Below are 20,146 nucleotides of genomic sequence, written 5' to 3' on the forward strand. Positions count from 1 at the left end.
TCTTCACAGGAGGCAAAATCATCTCTAGCCTCCAAGTCAGTAAAATAACTATGTCTTACATGTTGTGCAAAACATAGATACGTGGAGTTTCCTAATCTGCTTAAATTTGCAGTTGGGAGCTGGGACAGAGTATACCTTCAAGGAACTTTATTTTCTGCCTTCTGTCTTTTCCTCAAGTTTTTTAAACATAGAAGGAACTTCAGGGCTCATCTAGTTCAACCCTGGATTTTGCCCAGAGAAAGAAATTCTTCTAAGTGAGAGATGTTCATCTTCAGCCCTTTTCTGGGGAGGGGAGGATTGAGCTCTGAGCACCAGCTTGGTCATGAGGAATACACCTTCTACTACATGGAATCTACCAATGTTTCCTGAGCACCTGATATGTGCAAGGAACTGCTTGGCTCTCAGAATGCTAAGTTGGCCAGCTATGGGCGGCTAAATTTCATGGGAGTACAGCCATGCATATTTGTGTATGTATGCCTAGGGCTGCTTTTGAGCTGCAACAGCAGAGTTGAGTAGTTGTGACAGACACTGTATGGCCTGCAAAGCCGAAAATCTTTGTGACCTGGCCCTTGACAGAAAAATTTTGCCCATGCCTGTTTCAGTGCCTCTCCCTTTGGGGTTTCATTGAGAGGAGCATTTAGAAACTGAATGAGTTTGCTCAAGCAAGCATCATGTTTTTAAAAACAGAATCAATGTCTCTAGACGATGCTCAGAGCCCTCCAAGTGCAGCTCACTGTCTTTCTAAACCCAGCATTTCCACATTTAAGCTATTCTGTGGCTTCTGAAGGCATTTGAGTTGGAGAGCCCTGATTTAGAGCAAGGCCACATAAGGTGGAGAGAATGAGGAGCAGGTCGTTTTCACTTAGCTTCAGTGCTGAGCCCTAACATAGGGACATTTCTTCTTTACCATCAGTAACACTGCAGGAAGAAAATCATTAGGTACTGATTGGCTTATAGACTGAAGGTAGTAATGGAGAGTCTAGTCTATTATAACACTCTTTTGACCCCAGGTACAAGTATCTCTTGGCCCTCCAAACCTGGAACAGCTCCTGGCACATAACAGATCCTCTATAAATATTATGGGGAATGAATCAATAATGGAAAAGAAGGGCAGCACAGAGCAAATAATTAATAATGTTTTCTAACTGACCAATGAACATGTTGAAATTGCCTCATTGTTTATTCATGAATTTTTACATACTCCTTTTAATGATGTAAAAGCATCTTTTTTTAATTAGGAAACTTGTCCAAGAGGATGAAGAAGTTCTTGTGCTTTGAACAATTAATATAACCAGTTTATTACCAATATATAATCTCTCAACAATCATGAAAGAGAAAGCCTAGAAATTGAGTGATGGCAACTCTGGCTGGGTCTTTCATAAGGTGACTCAACTTTATTTTATTTTATTTTATTTTTTTGAGATGGAGTTTTGCTTTTGTTGCCCAGGCTGGAGTGCAATGGCATGATCTCAGCTCACTGCAATCTCCGCCTCCCAGGTTCAAGTGAATCTCCTGCCTCAGCCTCCCAAGTAGCTGGGATTACAGGTGCCTGCCAGCACGCCTGGCTAATTTTTGTATTTTTAGTATAGAGGGGGTTTCACCATGTTGGCCAGGCTGGTCTCGAACTCCTTACCTCAGGTGATTAGCTCGCCTCTGCCTCCCAAAGTGCTGGGATTACAGGCCTGAGCCACTGCACCTGGCCAACTCTATCAATTTTTAACTAAATTTATTTTTAAATTTTAAGCCTTAGCTGGTTCATGGGTTTCTACTTACATAAAGGTCTTGATGACTAGATAGAGTGATTATCACTTTTATCCTATAGGCAATAAAATCAACTTTTTATAATGATTAGAAAATATAACTTCATGTCACAAATAATTAAACCCAAAGAAGCCATGAAAGAGCCCATAGTTATCTCCCTGTTGGCTGGCAATATTCCCACTTGAGCTAGACAACATGAGTTCACTCTACTTAAAATATTGCCTTTTATAAGTGGCTTTAACACCATCATCAGCTATCACTTATTGAATAACAGGAACTGTGCTAATTGTTCTATGTGCAGTATTTAATTAAGTCACATGAAGGAGATTGACTTATTATTTTCATTTTATATATTTGGAAATTGATGCAAACTTAAAGAGGTTAACTAAATTACCCAAGGTTGTACACACATGTATTGGCCAAGGCAATCCACATTTAATTCCAAAACCACTTAGCCATTGAACCACCAATGCAATAACCTGCCTCAACAGTCCATGTTTATAATAAGGTTTTGCACCTTCTCAGTACTAAAATTCTAGATGGAAATACTGCCTAGGCCATATATTGCAGGGGGATCATTCAAAGCACTTCTTAACCTGGGATCTAGGGACACCTTCCAAGTTTATGAGTGCTTCAAGGACACTGCAAAATCCAGACATTTTATGCAAATGTGTGTGTGTGTGTTTATGTGTGTGTGTGTGTGTGTGTGTGATGTGCATGAGGGTATGCATTTTTCTGGGAAGAGTTTTCATCCAAGTCTATGACCCAATAGAATGCTAAGAACAACTTGCTATTTCAATCACTCAATTATTCTTTGATTCACTCATCAACAATTTACTGAATATCAACCGTGTGGCAGGCACTATGCAAGGGGGATACTAAGGTGAGAGACTGCATTAAAGTTGAAGCCCTTTCTGCCATTTATTTTGTAATTAACCTAGCATAAGGAGGTCCCTGATGTCTTTCCTTATTTAGGACTACAGAATCTAACTCATATCATGCATTAATTTGCTAATTTAAAGCTCAATAAAAATTTAATAGTGCTAAATATGTTGACTGAGTTAATTATAAAAAATTAGACACTATTCTCTACCAAACAATAAAAAGCAGCCTCTGTAACATCTCTTCATAAATTGCATGTGTATTCTGTTTTTATTGTATTACCTCAGTTTCTTAAAGTAATCAGTCTTTGGAAAAAGTAAAAATAAAAAGATTTTTAGCAATGAAATTTAGTCTTTTCATACCAGATTTTTTTTCCCAGGACTCTTTCAGTTTCAAGTAACAGAAACCCAAGCTTAAATAATAACAGCAATGTATTGAGTTAACACAGATGAAATATCCAGGGAAGATTTAGTTTTAGAAATGTGTGAGTAAAGTCCAAACAATAGTGTTTAAATCCTATTTATCTCTGTCTTTCGAATGGGTTCTTGCTACATGGTGAAAATGACGCCAGCCCCCTCATTCTACCGATTTAGCAACCCCAATGGGAAAATAATGTTTTAAAATCTCTCTCAGAGAGGTCACAAGCGATATTTGGATTCACCTAGGTTGGACATTCTCAATTCAAAACCAACCACTGTAATAACTATTCAGTGCATTCAAAGGAGACAGAGCATTCAAAGCCAGACTCATGCAGGCCCGTGCTTGGAGCTGGAATTGGGGAGGAAACTGCTTGATGAATTCAAATAACAGGGTCTCTTATGGAATACAAGTATCCTATCACCATAAGAGAAGTGAATGGGTCCTGATGGACCAGAACCAGAGATGCCCATCATAGTAACTGTATTAGTCTGTTCTCACACTGCTAATAAAGACATACCTGAGACTGAGTAATTTATAAAGTAAAGAGATTTAATGGACTCACAGTTCCACATGGCTGGGGAGGCCTCACAATCATGGTGGAAGGCAAAGGAGAAGCAAAGGCATGTCTTACATGGCAGCAGGCAAGAGACCTTCTGCCAGGGAACTCCTATTTATAAAACCATCAGATCTCATGAGACTTATTCACTACCATGGGAACAGTTTGGGGGAAACCACTCCCATGATTCAATTATCTTCACCTGGCCCCACCCTTGACACATGGAGATTATTACAATGCAAGGTGAGATTTGGGTGGGGACACAGCAAAACCATGTCACCAACATATGTATTCTAAGGAAACTGCCTAGCAGGCTGAAAGCCTATCCTTTACTCAATGACAGATGTCCTTTGTAATGTGCTAGGCATCTCCCTAGGCACTAGATACAGGTTTTAAAAAGGCAAGCATCCTGCCTTCATGGAGCTTACCTTCAAAGTAGGGGAGATAGTCAATAAACAAAACAAGCAAGTAAGTTACACAGTAAGTCAGAAGGCAAGAAGCATTATGGAGAGATACAAAGCACAAAGGAGAAGTAGGGTATATCTGAGGAGAAAAGGAGATTCAGTGTTAGAGGTCATGAAGGCTCCACTGGGTGACTTTGAACAAAAACTTGAAGGAAGTGAGAGAGGTCACCATATAGATACCAAGGAGTTGAGCAGTCAGGCAAACAGAAACAGCATGTGCAAAGGCCCTGGGGTGGGAACACATCTGGCATGTTCAAGGATTAGCAAGGAGTCCACCAGTGTTGACACTGGGAGAGCTGCAATGGGGAGAGTAGTAGGAGATGAGGTCAGATAAATAATGGCATATTTTTTCAGGACTTTGGTTTTCACTTTGAGTGAAATAAAAAGCCATTGGAACATTTAGAGCAGAGTTAAACTTTTTTAAACAATATCATTCTGGATGCTGTGCTGAGAATAGGCAGAATAGGGTGCCAGGGCAGACGAAGGGAGAGCATTTTAGAAGGTTTTGCAATAATCCAGGTGAGAAGTGATGACCTCGGCCAGGCTAGTAGCAGGGCACGTGTTAAATAATGGTCAGATTTTGTGTATACGGTAAAGACAGAACTGCTCATTTATCCTCTCTGATTTTGATGTAGATGTAAGAGAAAGGAGAAAAGTAAGGCTCAATTCTAAGATCTTTAAGGATGGAGTTGATACTAACGAAGTTGGGGAAGATGGAAGGGGGAGCAGATTGGGGGAGAAGGGAGAGATCACAAAGATTACTGAATTCTACCAAACTATGTTAAAATCTATTTTCAAACCCCCAACATTTTCATTTATGTCCTTCTCAAGAAAGTTCCTTGCACCTACAAGCACTACCTTGTAGCTGTCCTTAAGCTAGATCTTGTGTAGTAAGCTATACACCCACAGTTTGCAGACTGTGTGAGAAGAGAAGGTTTGCCCACATGTCTAAATAATGGTAGAAGATTTAAATAGTAGTAGAAGATTTGAATAACCATTGAATTATACAAAATACGTTGCAATAGGGCTAATTCTGCAACACAATGTCAGTAAAAATCAGATAAGGGAGGTCTCAACTTTTCTGATCAAGACAAGCAAGGTGTAATTGAGAAGGTAGGATTTTGGTTGGCTACTGATGGAACAAGATTTGGATACATGGAGAGGGTTAGCTGTAAATTTCATTGGTTTTATGTGTGTGTGTCTGTGTGTATCTCTAACTTGGCTGCTTTGATTCATAAATGAGCTGTAGAGCAGGGGTTCTCAACTGTGGCTGCTTGTAGGAATCACCCAGGAAGGCTTCTTTAAAAATTACTCTAATTTAATTGATATGGGATGAGGCCTGTGTACCAAGAGTTTTCAAAGCTTCTCAGTGATTCCAATGGCAGCCAGGGTTGAAATCCTATAGCAAAAAGCAGAGCATAGCAAACTACCCACCATGGGCCAAGTCCAGCTGTTACCTACATTTGTAAATAAACTTTTACAAGCACACACCCCTGTCCATTTGTTCACAACGTGTCTATGGCTGCTGTCATGCTATAATGGCAGTGTGAGCAGCTGCTGTTTGGCCTTTTACTGAACAAGTTTGCTGATCCAGGGTGTAGAGAAGGAGGAGCATCACACGAACCTGGGTCTGAATCCTATTTCTACTAAATATTAGCTATGTGACTTACAGCAAGGTAGTTAACTGTCTCCTGGTTCCCCTACCTGTAACATAAAGACAACAGGTAGATTATGAGGCTCAAAGATAATCTGTTGAAGAACCCAGCGTAGAAGCTGGCACAGAGAAGTAGTCAATGACGACTGGTTTCCTTTCTTCCATATACAGGGTAGACTCAATCTTCAAGAATCTTCCCCTTGCAAAAAAACAAAATAACAACAGCAATAACAAAAACCCATAATTTAACGTTTTTATGTTCTTGTAACCTTATTATGTAGCCATTGTGGAATTTGTGCTTCCTCATTGCCCTACAGGTAAAAGTATCTGGCAGGTCCTTTAGGCACTTCGGGTAGCTAGATGCTTTTAAGATGCCGAGATGGACCCACATTATATTCTATTTTACTAGATAACAAAGAGTTGTTCATGTATTTGGTGTATTTAATATGTAATAGAATAAAAAGGGACTTATGTGTCATGTCAAGAGGTAGAGCATAAATGATTGTGACAAGGGAAATGGAAGATCAGATGGTATAACCTCAGTTGACAGCAGAATCAGCATGATTAACGCTCCTGGCTAAAATAGCCAGCTTTCAAAAGCATCCTTCCAGCCTTTCCAAGGAACTGGGAACATGAACTGTTTCATAATGAGAAATGACCAAGTTAGTTTCCTGAGTGCCTCAAGAAATAATGGACAATTCTTAAATTTTCAGAAAGATTTTAGAAGAAAGCTACTTGACCAAGGACAGGGATGTGGGAAGGCAGACTTGTAGAAGACCTTCAGTGAATCAAACACACATACACACACACAAACACACACACACACACACACACACACACACACTCTACACCATTTAAAAGGACAAGTAGCTTGACACCCAATCCTGACTGCTAGTTCTAAAAACTCCTGTTGCATGCTGTGTCATTAACATCCTTTTTTTTTTTTTTTGAGATGGAGTTTCGCTCTTGTTGCCCAGGCTGGAGTGCAATGGCAGGATCTCAGCTCACTGCAACCTCTGCATCCTGGGTTTAAGCTATTTTCCTGCCTCAGCCACCCAAGTAGCTGGGATTACAGGCATATGCCACCACGCCCAGCTAATTTTTTTTTTTTTTATTTAGTAGAGACAGGGTTTCACCATGTTGGTCAGGCTGGTCTTGAACTCCTGACCTCAGATGATCCACCTGCCTCGGCATAACATCTTAAATTGTCATCATCATGTGTGTCATTTGTTGTTCAAATGGATTTACAACTAGAAATGACAGACACAAGGGCTGCACTATGACTTTTGGGGACTCTAGCCACTTTTGCCATCATGGGCCCTTTCTTCCATAAAAAATATTTTAAATGGTATTTCATGACTAACTACACAGGCTTAAAGATGAGTATAATTCAAGCTGGACTGTATTTTTTTTCTTCTGACTTTAAAAGAAATTAAAACCTCTTCATGGACCACTAATAACATCGTGAGCCTTGGGCACTCTGTGTATTGCACCAAATGGATAAGTCAGCTCTGGACAAACTTGTACCAAGGCAATATATTTCCTCACTTCAGGAACCAGCAAGAACTAACACTAAGGAGAGGCCACTTCTTCTACATTCTGAAATTCTGATTATTAAAGTCCGATAATGAGTCCCAGTGTGTCGTGGTGGCCAAAGACCATATATGATATCTCCTGTCTGGATGGAGGTTACATTCATCAATGACATAGCAATTGTCCTACCTCTACAGCTGTGTCCTCATCACTCATGTATAGTCATTCAGAAACAGTGTGGAGACCAAGGCAGGCAGATCACTTGAGGTCAAGAATTCAGGACCAGCCTGGCCAACATGGCGAAACCCTATCTTTACTAAAAATATAAAAATTAGCCAGGTATGGTGGTGGGTGCCTGTAATCCCAGCTACTTGGCAGGGCTAAGGCGTGAGAATTGCTTGAACCTGGGAGGCAGAGGGTGCAGTGAGCTGAGATTGCACCACTGCACTCCAGCTTGGGCAACAGAGTGAGACTCTGTCTCAAAGAAAAGAAGAAAAAGAAAAAAGAAATAGTGTGGAGAGGAAGGAGTAAGTTGAAGAAAGACAAGGATGACAAACAGGAGAGAGTATGGGGTGTCTCAGCACTGCCAACTGGGAACTGAGCTTTGCACTCCCCATGACAGATTGGAGCTAATGGCTGAGAAATATGATCCTGAAACTATCCCCTAAATGCCAGTTCAAAGAGTCCTCCTTCTCACACAATGACTCAGTGGAGGGAGGCGGCAATCTGAACTTGATGATGGAACGACAAGGCAAGTGTCGGTTTGTTTTTCCTATCAGGTGTCGACTTCGCGGAAAGCTCCATCTCAATTGCCATGAGTCAAAACTTGATTGCTGAGAGCAAGAAAGATGGGTACAGCAGGAGTCGCGTACTTAGTCACCCATACATGTTACAAAGTTCATTCAGAGTGTCCTGGGGTCTTCAGCTTCAACAGCAGCACCTCAGAAAATGTCCAAAGGGCAATTTTCCCACAGTATCTGGGATGACAAGAACCATCCTCAGATTCTGGACCGGCTCTAACTTGGCAAGTTAGACTAGAATCACATGCACAGTCCCTGGTGTGGTCTCTACTTGACTACTGTCCTAGGAGCCAAATAATTGGTGTAGTCAATGTGCTTTACTTGGGGGAGGAAGGGGTTGATAGTGAAAAGATATGAACAATTAAGAAAAGAGATTAATTTTAAATTAAGCTGAATGTCAAGAAGATTAGCGTAACTCTGACTTCTTTACCAGAAACAGACTTCTAAAATGAGACTTAATCTAAAGACATAAATAAAAAATATCCCTTTAAATGATGTATGGAAATATGAGCGGACATCGAGTGAGGAAGGCAGGCAGTTGTGCTGGATCTAAGTAAGTAGGTGTTCTGCAAATCAATCCACTTCACAGAGTCATTTGTGGAGCTATTGTTCAGGATATTTGTATTTGAATAGAGCTTGTCTCTCTCCTCACCCTGCCTCTCTATCCCAGGAGTCTAGAATGAAGGCACAAACTTCCACCAGGATGACTGTGGCTGGTTGCCATGGAAATAGCGAGAAGGCACTGGATTCAGCATTTGACTTCACTGTGGATCACAAGCCCAAGCATGAAGACTGAGTCGCGTTTAACTAAGAGACTTGCTAATTAATGGAGCGCCAGGTACAGCTTAAAGAGAAAGTCACACAGTAGATAAAGCTAAGTTTTCAGGGCTCTCAAAAGAAATAATCGCAGCCCCAAGCGGACTGTGGAAGAGAATGCTTTCTCCTCTGAGATCTATCTTCTTTTGAGTTCTGACGGCCACTTTTCCCTGACTCTCTGGAGGGAGGTGGAAATGGAGCCATTTAGGAAACCTTCCAGCTAATTGAATTCAAGAAGTCCATCTACGGACAAATGGATAAAGAAAAAGTGGTATATATGCACAATGGAATACTATTTGACCATAAAAAAGAATGAAATACTGTCATTTGCAGCAACATGGATGGAACTGGTGGTTGTTATGTTAAGAGAAAAAAGCCAGGCACAGAAAGACAAATGCTGCAAATTCTCACTATGTGCAAGTTTAAAAAAATGATCGCATGGAGATAGAGAATACAATGATAAATACTAGAGGCTGGGAAGCGTGTGTGAGTCAGTGGGGAAGGATGAAGAGAGGTTGGTTAGTGTGTTAGATGGAAGTTAGATAGAAGAAATAACCCCAATATTTGATAGCAGAGTAGGATAACTACAGTCTGCAACAATGTAATATATGTTTTCGAGTAGCAAGAAGAGAGGGCTTGAAATGCTCCCAACACATAAAAATGATAAACACTCAAGGTGATGGACACCCCAAATGCTCTGACTTGATCATCACACATTCTATGCATGTAACAAATATTCACATGTACCCCATAAATATATAACATTTTGTATGAGTAAAAAAAAAAAAAAAAAGAGAGAGAGAGAAAGAGAAATGAAATGGCACAACTAAATCCTCAAAAGGCGACGGTGATTTTCCCAGCCCTGATCTCACTCTGCCTCTTTGTCTCTGGGGGGCAGGTTCTTGGAAGGAGACAGTTTTGGGAAGACACCTCCACTACCCTGCTATGCACTGCCTCCCCTCCCTTCTCATTCATAGCTCTTCCCCTAGCAAAATACAAGTTCACCACCGCCTCCCCTTGGTCTTCTTCCTCCCTCGCTTCCTGGCCCATTTGCAAGGCCATCTCTTGACCAGCCAGCAGAAATGCAAGAGCATCTGGTGTAGCAGAGTCCGTTTGAATAAAATGTGAAAGCACAGTTGTACTCCAGTCAGTGCACAAATACCAGCTGGTGGAAGTGGAATAGGAAAATCATTTCCTCACTGGTAGCCCATTTTTAAACACTTCATAACGAATGAAGAAGATTGAATTGGTCATTTAAAAGATAGCAGATTTCATTCCACAAATGCCTTCTGAGTGCCATTTACTGAACTGGGTGCTGGGGAGGTTTCTTAGGTAAATCAGACAGATTCCTACTGTCAATTACACAATTGTCAAGCAGACAATTCCTGCATCACATGGAAGGAATAAGCCTGAGATGCCTGGTGAGATGGAATCTAAATAGCATGCCAGCCTCCTCTTCTGCGTCTAGAGGTGAAGTCACCCGAAGACATAGTTTAACATTCACAGGGTGCGCCTCCGTGCTGAACACATATGGTTGAATTTGGCTCATAAAGGTGTGTTGTGCTACAGCACTGGATAGAAGTTCTGCTGAGCTTCTGCTGGGGTCTAGGGCCACTGTGGGCAGTGTAGCAGCTATTGCAGTGTGCGGCTATGGTGAGAGGCCACTCCAAGTCCAGCCCGTTGGTAAGGTAGCCAAGCTTTACTAACAAGGGCTTACTAACGGGCTGAGCTGATGACATATAAAACCTGTGATCCTTTAGCTCCAGTTTAGGGTCCCACTATGGCCTGGGCAGGGATTTGGACCAGCTGAGGCGTGGCCATAACAGCAGAAAAGCATCCACCTGGCTGTGCATGACAAGGGTTCCATAATAATCCCACGTGGGAACAACTAAAGCCACAATGGTAATAGACTGACCAGAGTGACCTCTTTCTCCTGGCACACAGAAGCAAAACTAACCTCTTTTAAATAAAACTTCAAGTGTTAACAATTTGGGGTGGAAAAGAGGTCTCAAAGGTGAGATAACTGACTTTCTGCTAATATAAACACATGAGTGCTCAATTAATTGGATAAATAAAAGAGTAAAAGCCAAAATCCTTTCACTGGTCTACCGGATCTCTTGTATACTGCCCTCTCTCTGATCTCATTTCTGATCTGCTTAACCGTGCTCACTCAGCACCAGGCAAGGCAGCCTCTTTCCTGTTTCTCAAACATGCTCTCACCTCAGGGCCTTTGCACTGCTGATCCCTGTGCCTGAAATACTCTTCCTGAGTGCTTCACCTGTCGGGACTCTGCTCAGACGTTACCTTATTGGTGGTCTTCCCTTGCAACCTCATAGCACTCCCTCCTGCCAGCATTCTCTCTCTTTCCATCCACTTTTGCTTTTACCCACAGAACGAATCACTATCTCATATTACATATTTACCAGCTTATCACCTCTTACCCCTATTTGAATATAAGTTTCACAAGGGCAGAGGCTTTATTTCTTACTGTTACACTAGCACTCAAAATTGTGTTTGGCCCACAATAGGTGCTTAATAAACATTAGATGTTGAAGGAGATGTGAATCTATTTGTACCCCAATTGTGGGGGTTGCATTCATACATGTAACAAATAAATACTAACATAAGATAGGGTCATAAGAGTGAGCCAGATAAAATGTTCTCAGAATCTAGAAGAAGGAGAGAGAATTCCAACAGAAAGAAATCAAGGAACAGTTCATGGAGAAGGGACCATTTGATCCGTAAAAGATGGATTGGATTTGAACATTTGGGGATGGGAGGGAAGTTTCAGTGAAGGACATTAACATGAGCAAATGCATAGAGGTATTAAGAACAGCTTCTTTTAGCTAGAACAGAGGAGTACAGAAAAGATGGTCTAAAAGGTAATGAGCTTAGATTTTGAAGGGCCTTGCTCTCTATTCTCTGAAAATTAATTAATTATAATTCTGTAAAGTCTGTAATTATACACCAGAGACTGATGTGTAAAACAGGTACAAATCAAATTCAGAGCCAGCTAGGTAGGGCAAGGGGGATACAGGCCTCCTAGACCACACACCCACTCTCCTTTCTATGAACCCCTAGGGCACTGCTGTTCAGAGTCTAAAAATTACTGTTCTATAAATAGAGAGCTATCAGAGGTGTTTGGGCTGGGGAGAAACTGGATTAGAGCTATGTTTCAAAAAGATTAATCCAGCAACCAAAAGACAAATTGGAGAGGGAAGGCACTAGATGCGGGAAAACCAGTTATGGTACTCTTGCCACTGTCTGGATGAGAGGTAATGAAAGGCACAACTTAGGCAGGTGAATCACAAATTCATGAATTAGGACTCTGGCAACATGAGAAAATGACTATGAGGGAGAACACCTGGATTGGGTGGTAGGGTTGGGGAAGCTGACTCAGGTGGTAGGTGTCCAATGGGCACCAGAAGCTCAGGTTGACTCATGCCTGTACCAATATCTCTGAGTTAGGAAGATACGAGCATCCAGGACTGTTACAGATCTTGCAGATGTTCATGTCGTTCTTCCAGGTCAACTATATTCACTGCAGGATCAAGTCATCACTTTGGAATATGGGAAATCAAGAAAACAAATCCAAAATCCAGGGAAAATCTTAGAGCTCAAAAAGCTAAAGTCCCCAGTTCATCTCCCAAAGTCAGACTGCTGAGCCTGGTCGGAGAAAATCACACAGCTCTGCATACAGGTGCTACTAAAGTGTAGTCTTTAGGTTGTTTGAGGACATGAAGTCTTCCTATGTGTCCTTTATCAATTTATTCTTCTACCCACTTGACAAAATATTAGTACTCTCCTCGAGCCCCTACTCTACTACTTTGCCTCTGATTTTCAGCAGACAGCCATGTTCCTTCTCTCTGGGATTGATGAATTCCAGCCCAATATTTTAAATGCTGTCTCAGGGGTGAAGTTTCCACAATCTGTAACTCTTCCCATGATCTCTTCTCTGTGTCCAAAACTACTTATCTATCTATTGAATATTCCACAGACACCTCAAAAACAGCCTGGCCTAAACAGACTTGATTTCTACCCTTAAATCTATTCCTCCTCATCTCTTTTTCTATCATAGTAAATGGCAACACCGTTTACCCAGAGGCACCAGCTTCACAGCTAGAAACTATCTTATTCCCTTTAGTGTTGCTACAAAGGGATATCTGAGGCTGGGTAATTTATAAAGAAAAAAAGATTCATTTGGCTCACGATTCTGATGTCTGGAAAAGTTCAAGATTGGGCTCTGCATCTGGGGATGCTCTGAGGCTGGTTCCAGTCATGGCAGGAGAATGGGAACTGGTATGTGTGGCGATCACATGGTGAGTGCTGAAGCAAGAGTTGGGGAGGTGCCAGGCTCTTTCTAAACCAGCTCTCATAGGAACTAATGGAGTGAGGACTCATTAGCATGAGAAAGGCACCAAGTCATTCATGAGGGATTCACCCCCATGATCCAAACACATTCTATTAGGCTCCAACTCCAGAATTTGGATCAAATTTAAACATGAGCTTCAGAAGAACAAACATTCAAACTATGGCACCATAGCACTATCCTTGATTCCAATCCATCAGCAAGTTTGGCCTACCATATATAGAGAGAGAGAGAGAGTAAAAAAATATTTTACATATATACACACACACATGCTTCCCTCTCCATGACAACAATAACCCCTTAACTAAGCCACCATCACTCCATGCCTGGACCACACCCACAGTCTCTTAGCTGGTCTCTTTGTTAGCTCTCTGCCATTCTCCCTCCATTTCCCACACATCCAGACATCTCCATGTATTCATCCTCATCTCAATTCACCTCTTAGCAGCGTTTAACACTATTAGCCATTTCCTCCTTTTTGAATTCTTTGTTCCTTGGCTTCCAGACATATCAGTCTTCTGGCTTTCCTCCAACTGTGTGGGCCTTCTGTTTTTTAGGTTTGTCCTTGTCGTTTAGCTGTTAAATATTAAAGATCCTCCAAGCTCTATCCTAGACTCTCCTCCTCTTACTCTATATTCTCCATGATCTCATTAGTGCCCACAACATCAATTATGCTAATGACTATGCTGATGACTAACATATTTGGATGCCTAGCTTGCATCTCTTCTTTGAGCTCCAGACCTATATATTCAGCTGCCTCCTTGACATCTCTTGAATATCTCAAAGTATCTTAAATTCATCATGGTAAAAACTAAGCTAAAATCGAATTCCTTCCCCAAACCTGGCCCTCTTCTAAGGCTTCTTAGCCCAGCACAAGGCCCTAGAGTCCATGCAGTTTGCATAAACCAGAACCAAGAGTCCCCCTTAACACCTGCCTCTCCCTCATCCCTCAGGCCCATGTCCTTATATCTAATTTGATGGCAAATGGGGTAGCCACTTCCCAGCCTGGGTAAATGTCTTAAAGTCTCTTGCCTTGGTTTTCACACCTGTGAAATTGGTCTTATAAAAGCACCTATCTCATAAGGCTACTATAAACAGTAAATGAGATAATATACGTAAGGTATTTAGAATGGTACCTAGCACATTATTTTAAAAAAGGCATTCAGCAACTGTTAAATATGATTATTATCCAATGCATAATGAAATCCTGCCAATAGTGCTTTTAAACAAATTTTAATCAGTTCATCTTTTTCCTTGGGCACCTTTGCCACCCTAGCCTAATCTATCATCACCACTTACTTGGACTACTGCAATGCAGTAGACTCTTAACCGGCCCACTCTGTCCCTTTGCCCCCATCTCTGCCACAAAATATCTCCTCCACAATGCAGACAGAATGGCCTCTTCAGAATGCAAACCTGATCACCTTACCTCCTACCTCTTCTCCCCCAAGTCCTCACATTTTTCAGTGACTCCTTGCTGGTTTTGGGACAAATATGAAACTCCTCCTCATGGCCCTGCCTGCCTCAGGCCCTGTCCACCTCTCCAGCTCACTCTCACCCTCTGCTCCTGACACGTTAACCTCCCTTAGACTCTTGTCTGGCCCTGTCCCCTCCCACCCAGGGCATTTGCACAGCCCATTTGGCTCATTCGTTCTGCCTAGAAAGCTCTTCCCTCCCCTCTTCTACTAATTAAGGCTCCACCTCATCCAGTAAATCCCTGCTCAGGCATTGTGCCTTCAGAGAAGTCTGTGCAGACCCCCGAATCAGAGCCCCTCCTGGCTTGGGGCCCTCTCCCTGTAGCACATCACACAGCTGCCAAGTTCCAACTATTGGTGTGGGTGTAAGAGATCTGTCTTCCCCATTGAACTCTGTATCTTCCCAGGAGGACAGAGAGCATATGGGCTTCTGCTCACCCTTTGTCCCCTGCTGGTAGCATATTGCCCAGCAGAAGGTAGGCACTGCAAAACTATGTGTCTTTTTCTTTTACAGTACCACTTGCAGAAATGCCACTGTTAAAGAATTTCGACAATTTTTGATGAGCCCCAGTGAGGTGATAAAGAAAAAGAATCCATCTGAGAGACTCAGTAGCCAAAAAGGGCATATTGATTGTCACAAAGACAGCCCATGCCCAGCAAATAGAACTGAAGAAGGAGGGCGAGAACAATGCGAAGAAAAGTAACAATGAGAGTGTCAAGGAAGATTAAAGTGCAGCTCTTTGTGGAGCTAATAGATAAGGATTTACCAACAGAGTAGAGTGGATGCATTAAATGTGAGAGCAGTCAGTTTTGGGATGGAAACTAACACTCAGACACTCATGAAAGGAATATTTCAATGTATGGAGCTCAAGAGATGGCAGAATTCTTCTCTCGTTCCCTTACTTTTCTTAAGACTTTTATCATAGAAAGGACAATCAAAATTTATTTTCTCACCGTCTGAAAGCTACAAGTTCAAGATTCAGGTGTCAGCAGGTTTGTTTCTTCTCAGGCCTCACTCCTTGGCCTGCAGGTGGCTGTTTTTCCGCTGTGCACTCACATGGTTGCCCCTTGGTCTGTGTGTTGTCTGTGTCCTCTCTCCTTTTATGAGGACATCAATCGGCTGGGCACGGTGGCTCATGCCACGGTGGCTCCAGCACTTTGGGAGGCTGAGGTGGGTGGATCACCTGAGGTCAGGAGTTAGAGACCAGCCTGGCCAACATGGTGAAACCCTATCTCTACTAAAAATACAAAAATTAGCCAGGCACGGTGGCAGGCGCCTATAATCCTAGCTACTTGGGAGGCTGAGGCAAGAGAATTGCTTGAACCCGGTAGGTGGAGGTTGCAGTGAGCCAAGATTGCGCCACTGCACTCCAGCCTGGGTGACAGAGTGACAGAGCGATACTCTGTCTCAAAAAAAAAAAAAAAACAAAAAAAAAACAAAAAAAGGACAGTAATCATACGGGCTCAGGGCTAACACAGATGAACTCATTTCACCTTAATCACCTCTTTAAAGGCCCTGTCTCCAAATATAGTCACATTCTGAGGTATTGGAGGTTAAAACTTCCTATAAAGTTCTGGGAAACACGATTCAGTCCATAACACTTTTCTATCTATTTATGTTATGTCTATGACAGCTGTCCAGATACACATGGCATACTTATTTTTTAATGCTATGTAATATTTTGTTATATGACTGAACCAAAATTTCTTTATTAATTCATTTGTTAAGCACCTGAGTTGTTTCCAGCTTTTTGTTTTCAAGAATGCTGCTTTGAGCATTCTTGTACATACTCCTGGCATATATACTGAATTATATATGTGAGAGTAGAATTTCTGGATGTTAGGATGAATATGTCTTCAGTTTTACTAAATAATGTCAAAAGGAAAACAAATTTCTGATAGATACTCTATATAATAGTCCTGGTTAATAAAGTTTTGTTTTTTAAAAAATTATGAACTATTTTTATTGAATATTTGTTCTGTGTCTATTAATTTTACTTAACAAATACATACAGCAGATGCTATGAGTGACACACTGTACTTAACAGTTACCAACTATCTACTGGAATAATCACTTTTTTTATTTTGTTAATATGATGAAGAGCAGTAATAGTCTTTATAATGTAAAATTACACTTGCATTTTCAGAATAAACTTCACTTGATCATGATGGATTATTTTTTCATCCATGGCTGAGTTTGCTTTGCTAATATTTTTCTAAAGATTGTTGCATCTATGTTCAGGAGAGAGATTGGCCTATAATTTCCCTTTCTCACTTTGTCCTTGTCTAGTTTTCATTAGCAAAGTTGTGCTAGTCTGTTAGAATGAGCTGGTGGGGGAGAGTCCCTCTTTTTCTTTTATCATAAAGCATGTGTATAAGATTTTTCAATCTTATATGATCTGTTCATGTACATTTTTGTAATCTAGTTTTAATCTATAAACCTAGTTAGACCTGGTGTTTTCTTAATTGTTCAATAGCTTCTATTTATGTGGGTTTTATTTTTAATTTTTTTATATTCCCTGTTTTCAAACGTATTAAACATGTTTGTTGTATAGTTTAGTTTTCCTCATTTTTTACTTTAACTTTAAATAGACTATCAACTGCGTATGTTCCATAACTTGTTCTTTTTATTTTATGCTGTATCTGTGAGAGTTATCCAGGTAAATTTCCAGCAATTCCAATATATTTATTGTCTAGGTTTGATTCCATTATGGTTGCTTCTGCTGACTTGGCTCACAGAGCCTTGTTTGCTTGTATTTCTACTGTAAATTTATCTTCATTGGAATTTAATTTGGGGGAATTCTCTGAGGACTTGTTGAGGGTGCATTCCTCCTGAAAGTGTTTCTGTTTGCTTTTGTCAAACGCCTGGTGCTATGAGTCTGCTTGAAGTTTTTACTGTGCAGTTTTTTCAACCGTGCCAAGAGTGTACATTTGAAGCAGGAGACTACTTGCTGGTCAGCCTCGAGTCCCTGGTTCTCAAAGGAGCTTTGTATTCCTCCTCTACCCAGCGCCAATGCTGAGACAGATTTTTTTCTCTCCTCTCTGCCTTTGAGCTGTGGAATTTTTCCAGTTTACCCTTTCACTGGGCTTCTGTGGTCAGGATTTTATGAGGGATCTCTGCTCACATCCTGCGTCTTGCTCAGGCCTAGGGGCTTGGTCTCCTGTCTCCCCTGCACGTGGGGAGACAAGAAGCTCTAGGCCTTTAGGGTTTGACAGAAGCCCGCAGAGTAGCTGATGGTTCCAGGGTCCACTTAGTTCTGGCTTTATGAACTCATTTCATTCCAGCCATTGAAGGAGCTCCTGTACTTTGTTGCAACTTAGGCCATATTTAAAAGGGTGTTTTAAAGATTTTATCCACTATTTCCAGGTGTTTTATAATAAGATTTCAAGAGATCTAAGCTACCATATTATGTGAAACAGAAGTCAGACTTCTTTTTTTTAATCCACATTTAATCTAATTGACAGTTTCTGTGGCTAACCACTGTTTCCCTCCTTTTCATCATCCTCTATCCTAAGGTTTCTTCTTACTCATTTGTTTTAGGCTAAAAACCTTTCTTGAGTATTTTTATTAGGTGAGTATGTGGATGACACATCTAAATTCTACTCCCTTTAGAATAGCTTTCTTTAACTCTGAAAGAACAATTTCTGAGTTTTAGTCTTTTTTTTTTTTTTTTTGAGACAGAGTCTTGCTTTGTCACGCAGGCTGAAGTGCAATGGCGCGATCTCAGCTCACTGCAACCTCCACCTCCCGGGTTCAAGCAATTCTCCTGCCTCAGCCTCCTGAGTAGCTGGAATTACAGGCGCTCACCACCATACCCGGCTAATTTTTGTATTTTTAGTAGAGATGGGGGTTTCACCATGTTGATCAGGCTGGTCTCGAACTCCTAACCTCAGGTGATTCACCCGCCTTGGCCTCCCAAAGTGCTGGGATTACAAGCGTGAGCCGTCTTGCCCTGCCTAGTCCTTTTGACTTTACATAATGTTGATATTATTTAATCATCTTCTAGCTTCTTGTGTTGCAAATGCCCGTCTGATTATTTTTCCTTTCTTTTGTTATTTATTTATTACTTTTGCTTAGGAGCTTGTTAGCTTTTGTTCTAATCATATAGTCTAGGAACTTTATAAAACTATACCTACATCAGTGGCATTTTTCTCTGACCTTGCTTAGAACTTGGTAAGTGCTTTCAATCTGCAGATTTTTCTTCAGCCAAGGGATGCTTCTTTTATTACGGTACAAACCCATGAAAATGCAGATCCATATTGCCGCTGTCATCTGTCCATCTCCCATCACAAACAGGAGTGGTCTAAAATGCTTATGCTCTATGTGGTGGAAAGGAGGAGAGGCATGGAATCGATGATGACATGGCAGCCAGGTGGTGAAACTGCAGGCAACCTTGCCTTGGGAAGTGGGATCATTTTTCCTCTGGTCCAATCTCACATCAGATTGATGAAATGAGCACCAACCAACTGGATGATTTCTCAGATTGCTTCTGTTGATCTAGAGGTCCCAGCCAACCATAGCATCCAGATATGTCCCTATTGATATTTAAGCTGGAGCAGAGAGCTGTCAGCAGGTAGTACAACCCACAGCTGGCCCAGGAAGACTTTGGATCACACAGCTGGACATCCAGAAATTCCAGGCTGGCAATCCACACAGGTCCACCCAGGACACTGCTTGACCTCACAGTAATGCACACCTCATAGTTTTTACAATTGACTTTTTGGAGCCCACTTAAGCTATAGTAGCAGAATTCAACTGTATTTATTTGTTACATTTTCCTATCTATTTATCTCCTTTTGTTACCAAGACACTAGATTTTCTGGGTCAATTCTCTAACCTTCTTTTTCCCAAAGCATTCCCACCTCTTTATATTTTTGCTCTGTGACGTGAAATATTTCTTCTATGTGACCTTAGACATTAGTTTCTATCCCAAGATTGATTGCTCTCTCATTTAAGGCATCTGCTCCACTGTTTATTGGGGAAAACATTATCTATTAGCTCCACAAACTGCTGTACTTTAATCTTCCTTGACACTTTCATTGTTACTTTTCTTCACATTGTCCTGTCTGCCTTCTTCAGCTCTATTTGCTGGGCATGGGCTCTCTTTGTGCTTATCAATATTTCTTTTTGGCTACTGGGTCTCTCAGATGAATTCTTTTTCTCTATCAGCTCACTGGGGCTCACTGAAGTTGTTGAAATTCTCCAATGGTGGCATTTCTGCAAGTGGTACAGTAAAAGAAGTGTTCTCATCTCTGTGGGTCATGGTGCAGCCCACAGAGGGCTCCAAGGCCCCTGATGAGGCATGATGTGGAAGGCACTCTGGCTGAAGGGCCCCCCTCACTCCCAGGCCCAGAACAGGTAGCATTCTGCCACCCTTTCAGCTCCTGCTCTACCTATTGGTGGCCAGCCAGTCCA

At 41.5% G+C, this 20,146-nt stretch overlaps 1 long non-coding RNA gene across 14 annotated transcripts in view, besides 1 other annotated feature; it reads right to left on the reverse strand.

Moving 5' to 3' along the window:
• Nucleotides 1-20,146, reverse strand: part of LOC107986777 (uncharacterized) — a 303,857-nt gene that overhangs the window by 187,356 nt on the left and 96,355 nt on the right. The gene's annotated exons all lie outside the window — the stretch shown is intronic.
• Nucleotides 15,404-15,904: an enhancer, noted in NCBI's record as "H3K4me1 hESC enhancer chr7:24383660-24384160 (GRCh37/hg19 assembly coordinates)". NCBI's record gives its function as "activates a minimal SCP1, AML or CMV promoter by ChIP-STARR-seq in naive H9 embryonic stem cells {active_cell/tissue: H9 hESC(naive)}" and the evidence as "EXISTENCE:reporter gene assay evidence [ECO:0000049][PMID:30033119]".

Source organism: Homo sapiens, chromosome 7, assembly GCF_000001405.40.
Source record: "Homo sapiens chromosome 7, GRCh38.p14 Primary Assembly".
Taxonomy (NCBI): Eukaryota; Metazoa; Chordata; class Mammalia; order Primates; family Hominidae; genus Homo; species Homo sapiens.